This window comes from Homo sapiens, chromosome 1 (assembly GCF_000001405.40).
Source record: "Homo sapiens chromosome 1, GRCh38.p14 Primary Assembly".
NCBI classification, from domain to species: domain Eukaryota; kingdom Metazoa; phylum Chordata; class Mammalia; order Primates; family Hominidae; genus Homo; species Homo sapiens.
In genome coordinates this window covers 117,428,821-117,444,204 of record NC_000001.11, presented here as the reverse complement: position 1 = coordinate 117,444,204, position 15,384 = coordinate 117,428,821, and the positions used below count along the sequence as shown (strand labels likewise).

The 15,384-nt window shown below is 39.3% G+C and overlaps 1 protein-coding gene across 4 annotated transcripts in view; it reads right to left on the bottom strand.

Annotated features, from left to right (window-relative positions):
- MAN1A2 (mannosidase alpha class 1A member 2) overlaps positions 1-15,384 on the bottom strand; it is a 161,424-nt gene that overhangs the window by 84,668 nt on the left and 61,372 nt on the right. For all 4 annotated transcript variants that reach the window (NM_006699.5, XM_006710302.4, XM_011540536.4 and 1 more), the window contains exon 6: positions 1,880-1,974. In NM_006699.5, coding sequence (NP_006690.1) covers positions 1,880-1,974 — 95 coding nt within the window. The remainder of the gene's footprint in view (positions 1-1,879; positions 1,975-15,384) is intronic.

The following is a 15,384-nucleotide window of genomic DNA, read 5'->3' as shown; positions in this document are numbered from 1 at the left end:
TGGTATTCATCACAAAGATTTATTTAGATCTTTATTGAGTAACCTGGAATCGTATTTCCATGGAGTATTATTGAGTGAGAAAGATAAGAAGCAGAAAAGCAAGCCATTAAAGTGATAAACCAAATAAACATTACAAAAAAAGCTCTGCTTTTGTTTCTGTCTGCTGTATCATATTGTAGAAGATAAATATGATAGATTATTAAGATGGGTTGGCTTTCAGTCATCAAGACTAAGGGAAGGCCTATGTGTGGGAAATGCGTAGACCCCAGCCAAAAAAAAAAAAATTTTCAAAAACAGGTAAATAATGCTAGGTGCAGTGGCTCACACCTATAATCGCAGCACTGAGGTAGGAGGATCACTTGAGCCTAGGAATTCGAGATCCGCCTAGGCAACAAAATAAGATCCCTTCTCTGCAAAAAATTTACTTAAAAAGTTTTAAATAGGTAAATAATTACATTCATGATATAAAAACTCAAGTAAAATTATGTATTTGTTTACATACCAAAGAAATTAAATTAAAATTAATCTTATAAAAAGCTCACAACATGGTCCTTGGAAACCTTTTTACTTTAATCTCAATCTTAAATTAGAAGTTCTGCAATTTAATCTTGATTTTCAAGTTCTTTTCCTCTATGTAGACAAAAAAAGAGCCTCCAGTCTGTCTTCCTATCGGAATTAAGTTTTAATTATTATCTAAGTAGATAATAATGTCTGATTCTGACGATGATCCTGAAGGAAATATCACAAAATCTGTCACAAAACTAAGGAACGAGAACAAGCGTATACACAACATCACTTGGCCATATCCTTCCATGGAGCTTGCTCTGGAACTTCAGCCAGCTTTTTCCTCACCAAAGAGGTAATCTGCACTATACATAGTGCATGAAATCAGAGATAGTAAAGTTAGATTTAATGTTCAGTATTAAATGCTGCTGACATCTCAATGTAAATCTAAACTCAATAAAGTTCTTCAATTAGAAAAATTTTACTAAAGTCGAGTCGTTTCTAAAAATAATGTCATAGATTCACATCTCCAGAAAAATAAATGTTCCTAACTTTTATTCTAAAGGGTCTGAGTGCAAAGAGAACAACAATCAAATTTTTAGGTAATTTCCAAATTCCAACATTATGATGAATAAATTTTACTAGGAGAAAAAATGAGCACAACAAATTTCAGTCAGCATAAATTACTTAAATGCAAGTTCAAATATGTTGACATTATTCAAATGTTAATTGTATATCTCTACATAATTTATAAAGTTGTCCAAAGAAAACATTTCATCTATTTCTAAGTAAAAAACCAATGTTTTCGATTAGAAAACAGATTATAAAGATTGATGCTTAAGAGTTCACTTTGAACTTCACTAGTGTAGATGCTATAATAAAAACCCCGCAGTCAACATCATAAATTACGTCTTTCTTTATCTTTAATATGACATTCAGCAATAGGAAGCCCTCATTTCTAGGTATATTATTTTCTATTTTCACTTAGAAGATCAGGAGGTGGTATATAAAAAGAAAAAGAGGGAGGATGTACTTTGACTCTATTCTAGCACTAAATGGAAATGAATAAGCAAATAAAAGAAACAAATATTGTATACCATACAGGTGAGGAAGAGAAATCTAGACTTACAGAAACGAGTAGTAAAAACTGCAATCAAGTTAAGACAATTAACCTGTTTCAAAGGACTTATTTTAAAAATCAGAAAATGTTTTAAAGAAACACATTTATGCATATACACAAAAGAAAACAAAGATTATATATAGAGAGAAAAACAATATGTCTTTAAAAAAAATGTGGGGGTGACTCATTAGAAATTTCTAAGACTAAAAAGGTCAAAATAATTCTTCCAGAATAAGAATACCCACATAGAGTTACCTTTTCAAATTCACCATTGCCCAAGGAATCCCAGTAGGTGTGTTAAAGGCAGGAAGGAGTTTCTCAGCCAATTGCACTGCTTTAATCTTGAATATCTGAGATTTAAAACATGAATATTCATAAATTATAGCCATTAGTAAGCATTTACTTATTGCTCTCTCTCTCATAGTATACATAGCACAAGGTACTGGGTACACGGGAGCACAGGGTAGGAAAAAGCATCTCATTGGTACCAGGCAGCATTTGGCAATCAGAGAGCATGTTTGCAAACTGGATACTAAGGAAAGCTAACCATGCAAAAGGCCTAAAACAACAATTAATTGAAAAGGAAGGACATAGTTTTGGTGTTGATAGTCTATTTTCATCTGGCAAAAAATTTAAGAAGAAACATTAGGCTATGGACTTTTCATCCAAGGTAAACAGGTTTAGTTCAAAATATAAACAAAAGAAAGAGGTAACTCAATTTGCATAAATGCCCTTAAATTACTCTGAATATGTTATGTCTCAAAATTTTCCATCAAGGTTTAATCATATGATAGAAAAGGAAAGAAAACATTTGAGTTCACATACTAAGTTTACTTTGAGAGTTATAAATGCTTCATTTGTCAGTTCCAATTGCTGCTTTTTTGGTATCCAAAAATAATTGCCTAAATATCAGTGGTTTCCAAACTTTTAAAATCATATAGATAGTAAAATTTCTACTATTTTCTTAGCATGTAGTATTATCAAGATGTATATAGAAAAATTTCTACTATTTTCTTAGTATATCCCAATAGGTAAGTGTGTGTACGTAACTTTAGAGACCACTGACTTACAGATTCCAAACTGTGACTGGGTCATAATGTTCTATTAGGAAAAGTAGCACATTCTCTTATATGCATCAAGTCTATCCCCTCTCAAATGGTCTCCAAATTGAGTAGTTATTTAAAATTCCATCTTTTTACTGCAGCCAAATACTTTTGATAAAAATATTATTAGATTCTTCTAATAATATAATAAGTAGTTGAAGATCTGGAATGAATCAAAATTTTGAGTTGAGATTATATTATAACAAAGCATACCAACATTACTGGGGATAGAAAATATTAGAGAGAAATATGTACAAGTAGATAAGGAAATATCATAGAGGTAATGCATCCCCATTACTCTCTCCTTCATGCACTCTCCTTCATTCACTCTGTCCCTCATTAAGATGTTCCAAAGTTCCCTCAACAAGGCACAAGCTTCTTAGCAGAACTTTTAATTAGATATATTCACACATCTACAATTTACCATTTCCTTCAATATCTACTTTAACATCAAAACCCCAAAGAAAAACATTATAATTTAAAGTCAAAGTTGTAATAATGTTCTCATATTCATCTCATTAATTAGGAAAAGCAAATGTAAAATCAGTTCTCTCTTTATTAACATTTACATGTTAGTAAACACAAGTTACCTTATAGAGCAAACAGTATTGCTTCTGTTTACCATAAAGACAAAGAAATCAACTTTCTTATCTAGAAACTAATATTAATACTATATCTTTGTTAATCACACATTTTGTATCATATCTTTTCTACATATAAAATTAAAACTGATAAAATGACCTATGAACTTTTTCTAAATAGAAAGCATGCTCAATTCACTTCCAGAATAAACCAATAATATATTGTCTAATTTTCAACTAAAAATATTGTATCATTAATAGCAATTAACATATAAACAGTTATAGTAGACAGGTCTAAAAGAAAACAACACCCTAATGTCATTGAGAAAAAATCCCTTACATAGTATATAAATCTTAATTTATAAATATATAAACTCTTTAACAATATATTTTAGACTTATCTTCCCTATTTTCAGAAAAATATTTTGGTAGGCAACTGCAAATTAGTTTTCAGTATGCAATGCAGGCAAATAATACAAAATCCAAAAAGTATCAAAAGTAAAAAATTAAGTCTCTTTTTCAGTTCTGTCCCTCAGCCACACAATTCCTTTTACAATGCAACCACCTGTTAGCTTCTTTGTATTTTGTGCCAAATCAGTCCCATGGTATACATGGTTCCTGGTCATGTCACATAAAATCCTCATTCCCAAACCTCACAAAAACAGAAATTCTGTTGCAATTTACACACACTCAGAGTCTTTGTCTCTCTCTAACACAGAATATCACACATTCTGAACTTGTTACTTTAACATATTGTTTTGTACCTTGGGGAGCTTTCCAAAGCAGCCTACAAAGGACTACCAGCTCATTCTCTTTGGTGGCTGCAGAATTTCCTCTTTTATGGATACACTGTAATTTATTTACTCAGTCCTCTATTAATGGACATTTAATTTGTTTCTACAGTATATGGCTATCTAAGATAAATTCCAGAAGTGAATTTGTTGTCTCAATCAGTATAAGCATTTGAAATTTTGGTAAGTTACTACCAATTTGCCCTCCATATATGCTTTACTAATTTATACTTCTACCAGCAATTTATGAGTGGCTTTTTCATGATATCTTGTTAACACAAAGAGCTTTAAAGTATAAGTAACGAAAGTTAGGCTGGGCGTGGTGGCTCACCCCTATCATCCCAGCACTTTGGGAGGCAAAGGTGGGTGGATCACTTGAGGCCAGAGGTTTGAGGCTGGCCTGGCCAACATGGTGAAACCCCATCTCTACTAAAAACACAAAAAATTAGCCAGGTGTGGTGGTGCGCGCCTATAGTCCCAGCTACTCAGGAGGCTGAGGCCGGAGAATCATTTGAACCCGGGAGGCGGAGGTTGCAGTGAACCGAGATCACGCCACTGCACTCCAGCCTGGGCAACAGAGCAAGACTCTGTCTCCAAAAAAAAAAAAGTAAGACAACACAATAGGTAACATAGAACCACTGTAGTTTCTTGAGGAGGGAAGTGACATTAGGATCTATATATGCTTCTTATGCCTGTTTTCTCTATTAGAGTACTTAAGTTACTAAGATAATATTTTTGCAGCCTATTCTCAATCTAGCAGTCAATGTGGGAGTGTTAAATAGAAGTCAACAGTTTAGAACCCTCAAATGGCTCCCTATCTCAGAGCAAAAGCCACAGTCCTTAATAAGGGTATATACCTATATCAAAGATGTATCCCCATTACCTTCTATGGCTTCACCCCCTCCTTCATGCACTCTCCTTCATTCACTCTGTCCCTCAGTCACTCTACATTAGCTCCACTCGCCTCTTTTGTTGTTCTCTAAGGATGCCAGGTATGTTTTCGTTTCACTGTCTTTTTATTTGCTATGCCTATTAAATGTTCTTACAAAAAATATCCTCACCCACTAATCTCCTTCAGGTCTTCACACAAATGTTACCTTTTCATGGACTCCCTAACCATCCTATTTGAAATTTAAACTCCTTTATGCCCCATCCCACTTTATTTTTCTCCTTGGTGCTTACTGCTAACAGTGTATGTTCCATCATGTATAATGACAGAGATAGTGCTAAGAAATGCATCATTAGGCAATTTTGTCATTGTGCAAACATCATAGGGTATACTTACACAAACCTAGATGGTAAGGCCTACCACACATCTAGGTTATATGGTACAGCCTATGACTCCTATACTACAAACCTATATAGCATGTTACTGTATCGAACGTTGTAGGTAATTTTAACACAATGGTAAGTATTTGTTTACCTAAACATAGAAAAAGTACAGTAAAAATACAGAATACAAGATTAAAAATGGTATATCTGTACAGGGCACTGACCATGAACGAAACCTGCAGTACTGAAAATTCTCTGGCGAGTCAGAGGATGAGTGGTGAGTGAATGTGAAGGCCTAGGACATTACTGAACATTACTGTAGATTTAAACACTGTACACTTAGGCTACACTAATTTATTTTTTACAATTATCCTTCAAAATAATTAATTAACTTTGGCTTACTGTAACCTTACCATATAAACGTTTTAGGGTTTTTCTTTTTAACTCTTTGACTCTTTTATAATAACATTTAGCTTAAAAACACAAATATATTTTACAGCTGTACAAAAAGATTTTCTTTCCTTATATCCTGATCCTATAAGCTACTTTCTATTAAAATTTTTTTTTTACTTTTTAAACTTTTTTGTTAAAAACTAAGACACAAACACAAACATTGGCCTAGGCCTACACAGGGTCAGGATCATTAAAACATCACTAGGAAATAAGAATTTTGCAGCTCCATTATAATTTCATGCAACCACCAACATATCCATTGTTGACTGAAACACAGTTATGTGGTACATGACTGTATATGTGTATACATACATGCTCTCTCACATATCTATCTTATTTATTTATTGCCTATTACCCCACAGTAAACCATAAGCCATAGGGGTACAACAATTTGTTTTAAATTTGTTTTCAATGCTTAGAAGAGTGCCTAGCATATAGCAGATGCTCAACAAGTGTTGAATAAATTAAGACAAAAGGTGGAGATTTAAAATAAACAAATTTTCTCCTCCCATTTCCATACCAACTCTAGCCCCCTAATATGTGATATTAATATACAAGGGCTTTAAGGACTTTTTAATATGTTCTACAAAAATGTTGGGATAATGATGGTGATGATGATGACAAACATATTAACTCATTTAATCCTCACAACAAGCCAGTGAGATAAGTATTAATTTTGCCCCCATTTTACAGAGTAGAAAAACTGATATAAAATGAATAAGTAATGTATTTCACAAGGTCATACAGGTAGTTAAGCAGTTAGTCTGAATTTAAACCTAGACAATCCAGCTCTAGAGTCCATGTTCTTGACCACACACACACACGCACACACACTCCTACACCTTGCATTATCTAATCTTAATTTTTATAGTTAATATTTAAATTCCTCAAAAATATTTTATTAATTGATGTGTATACCTCTTTGTCTTTTATCTTGTACCTTCCCTCTTGAATGACAGATTCAAATTCTGGGTTGGTAGCTATTTTATCTCAGCAGTTTAAAGATACTACTCTAAAATCTTCTGACTTCAATTACTACTGAGAACTCCACTGTCAGCTGTCATTCTTTTTTAAGTAATCAGCCCTTTCTCTTTGGTAGCTTTTAATATTTCCTCTTTGTTCTTATCTTTTCACATATTATTTGTTCCATTAAACTCATCTGAGACTTCTTCCAAATATTCTCTGAAACCTCTCAATCTATTTTCATCTCTCAACTCTTTTGCTTATTTTCCCTCTTTGACTCTCTATACTTCATTCTGGATAAATTTTTCAGTATCACTGAGAGAGCACGAGTACCCTTAAAGGCTAGATGGCTGTTCCTCAGAACCAAGTGAAGGTCACTGCAAAACTGAGGGTTAACACAAAGAGACAGAAACACATTCACACACACTTCCCTCTTAAAATGAACCTGCAAATAATAATTTTAAAACTCATAATGAAATCTAAGATTTTATTATATTTGCAAGCTAATAAGTCAGCCTTTCACAGTTTTATAAATGTTGGCAGAAGACACAAGACTACTGGGTCAGAGATAAAAGGCTTTATTATTTATAGAAAAGTAGCAGCCAAAGCTTCAAGTTCATTTGCATTGGACTATACATGCCCCACCTCCACCCCAATCACACTGGGATGATGCACAGGGCCCATGATGAATGCCTGTACACACAGTGGGTTACATTATAGGAGAACACTCAGCTTGTGGTATCTCTTCTATAGTAAGCGAAAGTAAGCCTGTTTATCCAGGGTGGACATTACCTCATCCCTACAAGCACAATTGTGATTATATGGATAAAGAGCAGTCAGGGACTTGCATTCCTGGTACTTCTAGCACAAATGTGCAGGGATATGCTCAGGCCCCAGTGCTGGATTGCTTTTCTAAGCCTTCACATCAGCAAGGGGAGTCCCTTCCTATAGCAGCAGCTGGATCCATTTGGAAGTTTTTCCAATACTTGTAGAACCAGTTTTATCACCCTCAAAGACATCAGTCATTATCACCCACCCCAAAGACATCAGCACCAGCAATAACCTGCTAGCCCACTCTCTTCAGGGGTCTGAGTTTCAGCTTCGGATACCCCTTCCTCTTAAGGTTTCTAAGTTTTACTAATTAAAACCTCTTCCCCATATTATGTCAACCCTGTTTGCTTCCTGTAGGAGCCACCTCTATGATTCCTACAGAGTATTCTTTTTAATCTAGCATTTACCTAGTTAACAACTTTATACCTAATTAATCTTTATATTAAATTTTCTCTGTTCAAGTAACTAGATGGATTCTGTCTCTTGACTAGACTTCTGAAAAATAAATAATCCATATACATTTTTTTTTGAAACGGAGTCTCACTCTGTTGCCCAGGCTGGAGTGCAACAGCGTGATCTAGGCTCACTGCAACCTCCACCTCCCAGGTTCAAGTGATTCTCCTGCCTCAGCTTCCCGAGTAGCCAGGATTACAGGCATCTGCCACCACGCCTAGCTAATTTTTATATTTTTAGTAGAGAGAGGGTTTCACCATGCTGGCCAGGCTGGTCTCAAACTCCCAGCCTCAGGTGATCCGCCCGCCTCGGCCTCCCAAAGTGCTGGGATTACAGGCATGAGCCACCGCGCAAGGCCAATAATCCATATTTTATTATCTATTACAAAATATTTGCTTAGTTTCAAAAATAGAAAAAATAAAAAAGTTTAAATCATAAACAGTTCCTCTATCTTGAACCAAATACATTAATGTTTTTATGTATTTCCATCCTTTTTTTCTATACATAACATACAATTAAGTAGCTGGATTTTTATTCCATGTTTGGCTGCTACTGACATAATAACACAAGTAACTTTTCCAGTTTTACAAAATTGTCTAATTTACTATATCCATATCCTCTCCTTTCTATTCACTCCTCAACCTATTCCAACATGGCTTCTGCTGCCATCATTTCACTGAAACAGATCTTATTAAGGATTGACCACACATGTGAGCAAAAGCATTTTGTTATTATTCACGAGTTCTTCCTTAAAATACATGCTTCCTCTGTGTTCAATAATCCTATAATCTCCCTGCTTCCTTTGGTTTATCCTCATCTATCTGGCCTTTGATGTTGTATTTCTTGGGGCTTAATTCTAGGCCCCTTTCTCTTCCTATCCTAAATTGTCTCTCTGGACAATTTCACAATGTGCTTGATTTCAATTATCAGCTACCCAGCAACTGACTCCCAAACTTATATCTCCAGTCAATACTTCTCCATTGAACACCAGACCCATTACATCTCTCTACTACTTATTTTCGCTTAAATATAAAAAAATCCTCAAACTCAAAATACCTAAAATTAACTCATGATCTTCCCCCTCTAATCTAGTATTCTTTAAGCATTTGATATTTAATAACTATCGTACCATCAATCTAGCACCAAAAACAGAAACCTGAGAGACAAAATCAATTCCTTCTGTTTTATACCCCCCTCCACGTATCACCCAATCCTTTTAAATTTATCTCCAAAATACCCTGAAATCATTTATATCTCTCATCTCTACAACACCATCTTAGTCCAAGGTGCCATTATTTCTTGGCAAAATACTGTGATGACTAGCTGACTGAATGGATACACACACACACACACACACACACACACACACACACACACACACACACAGCTGTAACCAACTACTGGTCTATAACTTGCTTTAGTCACTGAATACATCAAGCACATTTTTCCTCGTTAAAATATACAAATTTAGGTTTATAGTTTAATTTTATCCTATGGTAACAGATATATCAATTTATTCAGTCACTCTCCTATGGATGAATATTCAGGTCTTTTTCAAATATTTTCTACTACAAACGGTACTGCAATTAAACATCCTTTTGAGTATACCCTTGTGTATCTACTCTGTTACTTTTAGATAATAGATTCCTAGAAGTGGGTCGCTGGGTCAGAGTATTTTAAATTTTAAATATTTACTTCACACAGCCGAATTATTTTCTGAAAAGACAGTATCAATTTATATTCTAACAATTTATCACACATTTGTTAAAATGCAAAGTATACATTTAATTACATATTATACATACAACATAGGTACATTTTATTGCATATAAATTAACCTCAGTAAGGTCTTGAAAGTCTCTACCAGGCAAAGAATGTGGAAGGGTGAGAGACTATTACAGACAGAAAATCGTGATATAGCTCTATAAACACAGGGAGATAAAACAATGTGGTCTAAATAAATAGTTTCACAATACTGTGGTTTAATATAAGTGTCAAGTCTGGAGAATCTTAGGAAATAGTAAATAGATCCCTCAGATAATCTCTTTTACAGCTTTTGACCTCTTTAGAAAGTACTCCCTCTACTTTCTATGGAAACTGTCATTCTATCTGTCTGACAAACAAGAAACTCCATTCCATCTATTACCTTAAAGCTGCTGCAAATGCCATATAATCACATTTCCAAGCCTCCTCTGCAACTAAGGTAGTAAGCAACACGGCCTTTCTTGTTACTCAGGTAGTATGCAAATTAGGTTAGGTAAGGGGAAGTTAGAGACAGGAGATGGTGGGGAATCCATTTAGCAATTCAGCTAATAGGTAGTGGCAAGTTCATCTCATTTCCAAAAATTTTTAAGGACAGTATTCAGTATCAGTGGGACCATCAGTGCAAACTGCAAAGTGTGTGCAGTAATGACTACAATGAATCAGTATTGCGATGGCATTCCTGGCTACACAGAATTTAGAAAAAAAGGAGAAGTACAACTGTCATTATTTGCAGACAATATGACTGTGTATCTCAGAAATCAAAAGGAATCTAGCAAAAAAACTATATAAGTGAATATGAACAAGGTATTTTTCTTGCTTTCTTGCAATGCTAAGATTTTCATTACAATGCTAAATGTAAATAGTGAAAATGGAACACCTTCCTTTATTCCAGATCCTTGGGTAAAAACATTTTAATATTTTATAATTAACATATAGTTTGCTGTAGAGTTTTCGTAGGTGTCCCTTATCAGAATGAAAAATAATAATTACCTTTTAGTACAGGTTGAGTAGCTCTTATGTGAAATGCTTAGAACCAGAAATGTTTCCAATTTTCGATTTTTTTAAATTTTGAATTATTTGCATTACACCAGTTTAGTATCTCTAATCTGAAATCCTAAACACTACAATGAGCATTTCCCTTGCACTCCATGTTGGTGTTCAAAAAGTTTAGGATTTTGGAGCATTTCAGGTTTTTGGATTGGGAATTATCACGCTGTACTAGTTTACTGAGTGATTTTAATCATGAATGGGTGTTGCATCTTATCAAATGCTTTTACTAAATTTATTGCAATAATTATATGATTTTTCTCCTTTATTGTTAATTAATATGATTAATTACATTAACTGCTTTTTCAAATCTTTAACTTTGCTTTCCTACAATAAAAGAAATTTTTCTTGATATATTATCTTTTATATTATATAAAAAGAATATAAAAGATCTTTTATATATCTTTTATCTTTTATATTCTTATATATAATATATATATCTTTTATATTATTGCTAGCTATGCTTTACAAGTATTAATAGTTTGTTCAGGATTCTTGCTAATGTATTTAAAAAGTATACTGGTCTGTAGTTTTCTCTTGCTATATTGCCTTTCAGGCTATGATGTTAGTGCTATGCTGGCCTCTGAAGTAGAGCTGCAAAATGTTCCCTGTTCCTCTGGGGAAGAATGATATTTCTTTCTTATTTGATATAATTCACCAATAAAGCCATTTAACTTGGAGTTAATTTTGTGAAATAGCTTTTTATTACCAATTCAATTAATACTACAAATGGCATACTTCTTGCTTTACCTTGACTCAGTTTCAATAAGATTGTTTTAGAAAATTTGTTTTGTCTATGTTATTAAATTTTGCAAAAAAACTGCTTATAATATTCCATTATTATGCCTTTAATGTATGTGGAATCTGCAATGATAGCCTAATATTGGCAATACCATTTGCTCCTGCTATTGGTAATCTGTCTTCTGTTATTTCTTGATCAATTTAGCTAAAAAGATTTATCAATTCTGTGGATACTTTAAAAGAATCGACTTTGTAATATTTTCCTTGTTTTGTCTACATTATTAAATTTTGCAAAAAAACTGCTTATAATATTCCATTATTATGCATTTAATGTATGTGGAATCTGCAATGATAGCCTCATATTGGCAATACCATTTACTCCTGCTATTGGTAATCTGTCTTCTGTTATTTCTTGATCAATTTAGCTAAAAAGGTTTATCAATTCTGTTGATTCTTTCAAAGAATCAACTTTGTAATATTTTCAATTTCCTTTGTAATTGCTTACTTGATGTCTATTTATTTAGAAACATATTGCTTAATTTTCAAATATTTGAAGTTTTTCCTGATGTCTATTATTGATTTCTAATTTAATTCCATCATGGTCAAAGATCGTGCTTGTTTTTTGTTTTTGAGAGACAGGGTTTTGCTCTGTTGCCCCAGCTGAAGTGCAGCAGTGTGATCACAGCTCACTGCAGACTCAACCTCCTAGGCTCAAGCAATCCTCTCACCTCAGCATCCTGAGTAGCTGGGACTACAGGTACATGCTACCACACTCGGCTAATTTTTGTATTTGTTGTAGAGATGAGGATTTGCCATGTTTGCCGAGGCTGGTCTTAAACTCCTGAGCTCAAGCAATCCACCCACCTCAGCCTCCCAAAGTGCTGGGATTACAGGCATAAGCCATTGCACCTAGCCATACTCTGTACTATTTCTAACTTTTTAAATTGACTGAATGTGTTTTATGATCCAGCATACAATTTATTTTTGGTAAACATACCATGTGCACTTGAAAAGAAAGTGTACTCAGCAGCTGTTGAGTAAAGTGCTGTATAAATAAATATCAATTCATTTAAAATAGCTCATACTGTCATTCGGGACTTCTACATCATCTTTGATTTTCTGTCTGCTTATTCTATCAGTTGAAGAGAAGAATGTTGAAGGATCCAACAATCTTTGTGGAATTACCTTTTTAATAAAAAATTAAAAAGGAATCTCCTTTTAATTCTTCCATTTGTGATTCATACATTTCAAAGCTCTGTTATTTGATGCCTACACATTTGCTTATGTTTTAATGTTGTGATTATGTCTTTCTAATGAATGGATCCTTTTTTTCATTATGAAAGGCCTCCCCCCTCCCCCTCCCCCTCCCCCTCCCCCTCCCCCTCCCTCTCCCCACGGTCTCCCTCTCATGCGGAGCCGAAGCTGGACTGTACTGCTGCCATCTCGGCTCACTGCAACCTCCCTGCCTGATTCTCCTGCCTCAGTCTGCCGAATGCCTGCGATTGCAGGCACGCGCTGCCACGCCTGACTGGTTTTGGTGGAGACGGGGTTTCACTGTGTTGGCCGGGCCGGTCTCCAGCCCCTAACCGCGAGTGATCCGCCAACCTCAGCCTCCCGAGGTGCCGGGATTGCAGACGGAGTCTCGTTCACTCAGTGCTCAATGGTGCCCAGGCTGGAGTGCAGTGGCGTGATCTCGGCTCGCTACAACCTACACCTCCCAGCCGCCTGCCTTGGCCTCCCAAAGTGCCGAGATTGCAGCCTCTGCCCGGCCGCCACCCCGTCTGGGAAGTGAGGAGTGTCTCTGCCTGGCCGCCCATCGTCTGGGATGTGAGGAGCCCCTCTGCCTGGCTGCCCAGTCTGGAAAGTGAGGAGCATCTCCGCCCGGCCGCCATCCCATCTAGGAAGTGAGGAGCGCCTCTTCCCAGCCGCCATCACATCTAGGAAGTGAGGAGCGTCTCTGCCCGGCCGCCCATCGTCTGAGATGTGGGGAGCGCCTCTGCCCCGCCGCCCCATCTGGGATGTGAGGAGCGCCTCTGCCCGGCCGAGACCCCGTCTGGGAGGTGAGGAGCGTCTCTGCCCGGCCGCCCCGTCTGAGAAGTGAGGAGACCCTCTGCCTGGCAACCACCCCGTCTGAGAAGTGAGGAGCCCCTCCGCCCGGCAGCTGCCCCGTCTGAGAAGTGAGGAGCCTCTCCGCCCGGCAGCCACCCCATCTGGGAAGTGAGGAGCGTCTCCGCCCGGCAGCCACCCCGTCCGGGAGGGAGGTGGGGGGGGTCAGCCCCCCGCCCGACCAGCCGCCCCATCCGGGAGGGAGGTGGGGGGTTCAGCCCCCCGCCTGGCCAGCCGTGCCGTCCGGGAGGGAGGTGGGGGGGTCAGCCCCCCGCCCGGCCAGCCGCCCCGTCCGGGAGGTGAGGGGCGCCTCTGCCCGGCCACCCCTACTGGGAAGTGAGGAGCCCCTCAGCCCGGCCAGCTACCCCGTCCGGGAGGGAGATGGGGGGGTCAGCACCCCCACCCAGCCAGCCGCCCCGTCCGGGAGGGAGGTGGGGGGGTCAGCCCCCCACCCGGCCAGCCGCCCTGTCCGGGAGGGAGGTGGGGGGGTCAGCCCTCCGCCCGGCCAGCCGCCCCGTCTGGAGGTGAGGGGCGCCTCTGCCCGGCCGCCCCTACTGGGAAGTGAGGAGCCCCTCTGCCCGGCCAGCCGCCCCATCTGGGAGGGAGGTGGGGGGGTCGGCCCCCCGCCCGGCCAGCCGCCCCCTCCGGGAGGGAGGTGGGGGTGTCGGCCCCCCGCCCGGCCAGCCGCCCCGTCCGGGAGGGAGGTGGGGGGGTCAGCCCCCCGCCCGGCCAGCCGCCCCGTCCGGGAGGGAGGTGGGGGGGGTCAGCCCCCCTGCCCGGCCAGCCACCCCGTCCAGGAGGTGAGGGGCGCCTCTGCCCGGCCGCCCCTACTGGGAAGTGAGGAGCCCCTCTGCCCGGCCAGCCGCCCCATCCGGGAGGGAGGTGGGGGGGTCAGCCCCCCGCCCGGCCAGCCGCCCCGTCCGGGAGGGAGGTGGGGGGGTCGGCCCCCCGCCCGGCCAGCCGCCCCGTCCGGGAGGGAGGTGGGGGTGTCGGCCCCCCGCCCGGCCAGCCGCCCCCTCCGGGAGGGAGGTGGGGGGGGTCAGCCCCCCTGCCCGGCCAGCCGCCCCGTCCGGGAGGTGAGGGGCGCCTCTGCCCGGCCGCCCCTACTGGGAAGTGAGGAGCCCCTCTGCCCGGCCACCACCCCGTCTGGGAGGTGTGCCCAACAGCTCACTGAGAACGGGCCAGGATGACAATGGCGGCTTTGTGGAATAGAAAGGCGGGAAAGGTGGGGAAAAGATTGAGAAATCGGATGGTTGCCGTGTCTGTGTAGAAAGAAGTAGACATGAGAGACTTTTCATTTTGTTCTGCACTAAGAAAAATTCCTCTGCCTTGGGATCCTGTTGATCTGTGACCTTACCCCCAACCCTGTGCTCCCTGAAACATGTGCTGTGTCCACTCAGGGTTAAATGGATTAAGGGCGGTGCAAGATATGCTTTGTTAAACAGATGCTTGAAGGCAGCATGCTCGTTAAGAGTCATCACCAATCCCTAATCTCAAGTAATCAGGGACACAAACACTGCGGAAGGCCGCAGGGTCCTCTGCCTAGGAAAACCAGAGACCTTTGTTCACTTGTTTATCTGCTGACCTTCCCTCCACTATTGTCCCATGACCCTGCCAAATCCCCCTCTGTGAGAAACACCCAAGAATTATCAATA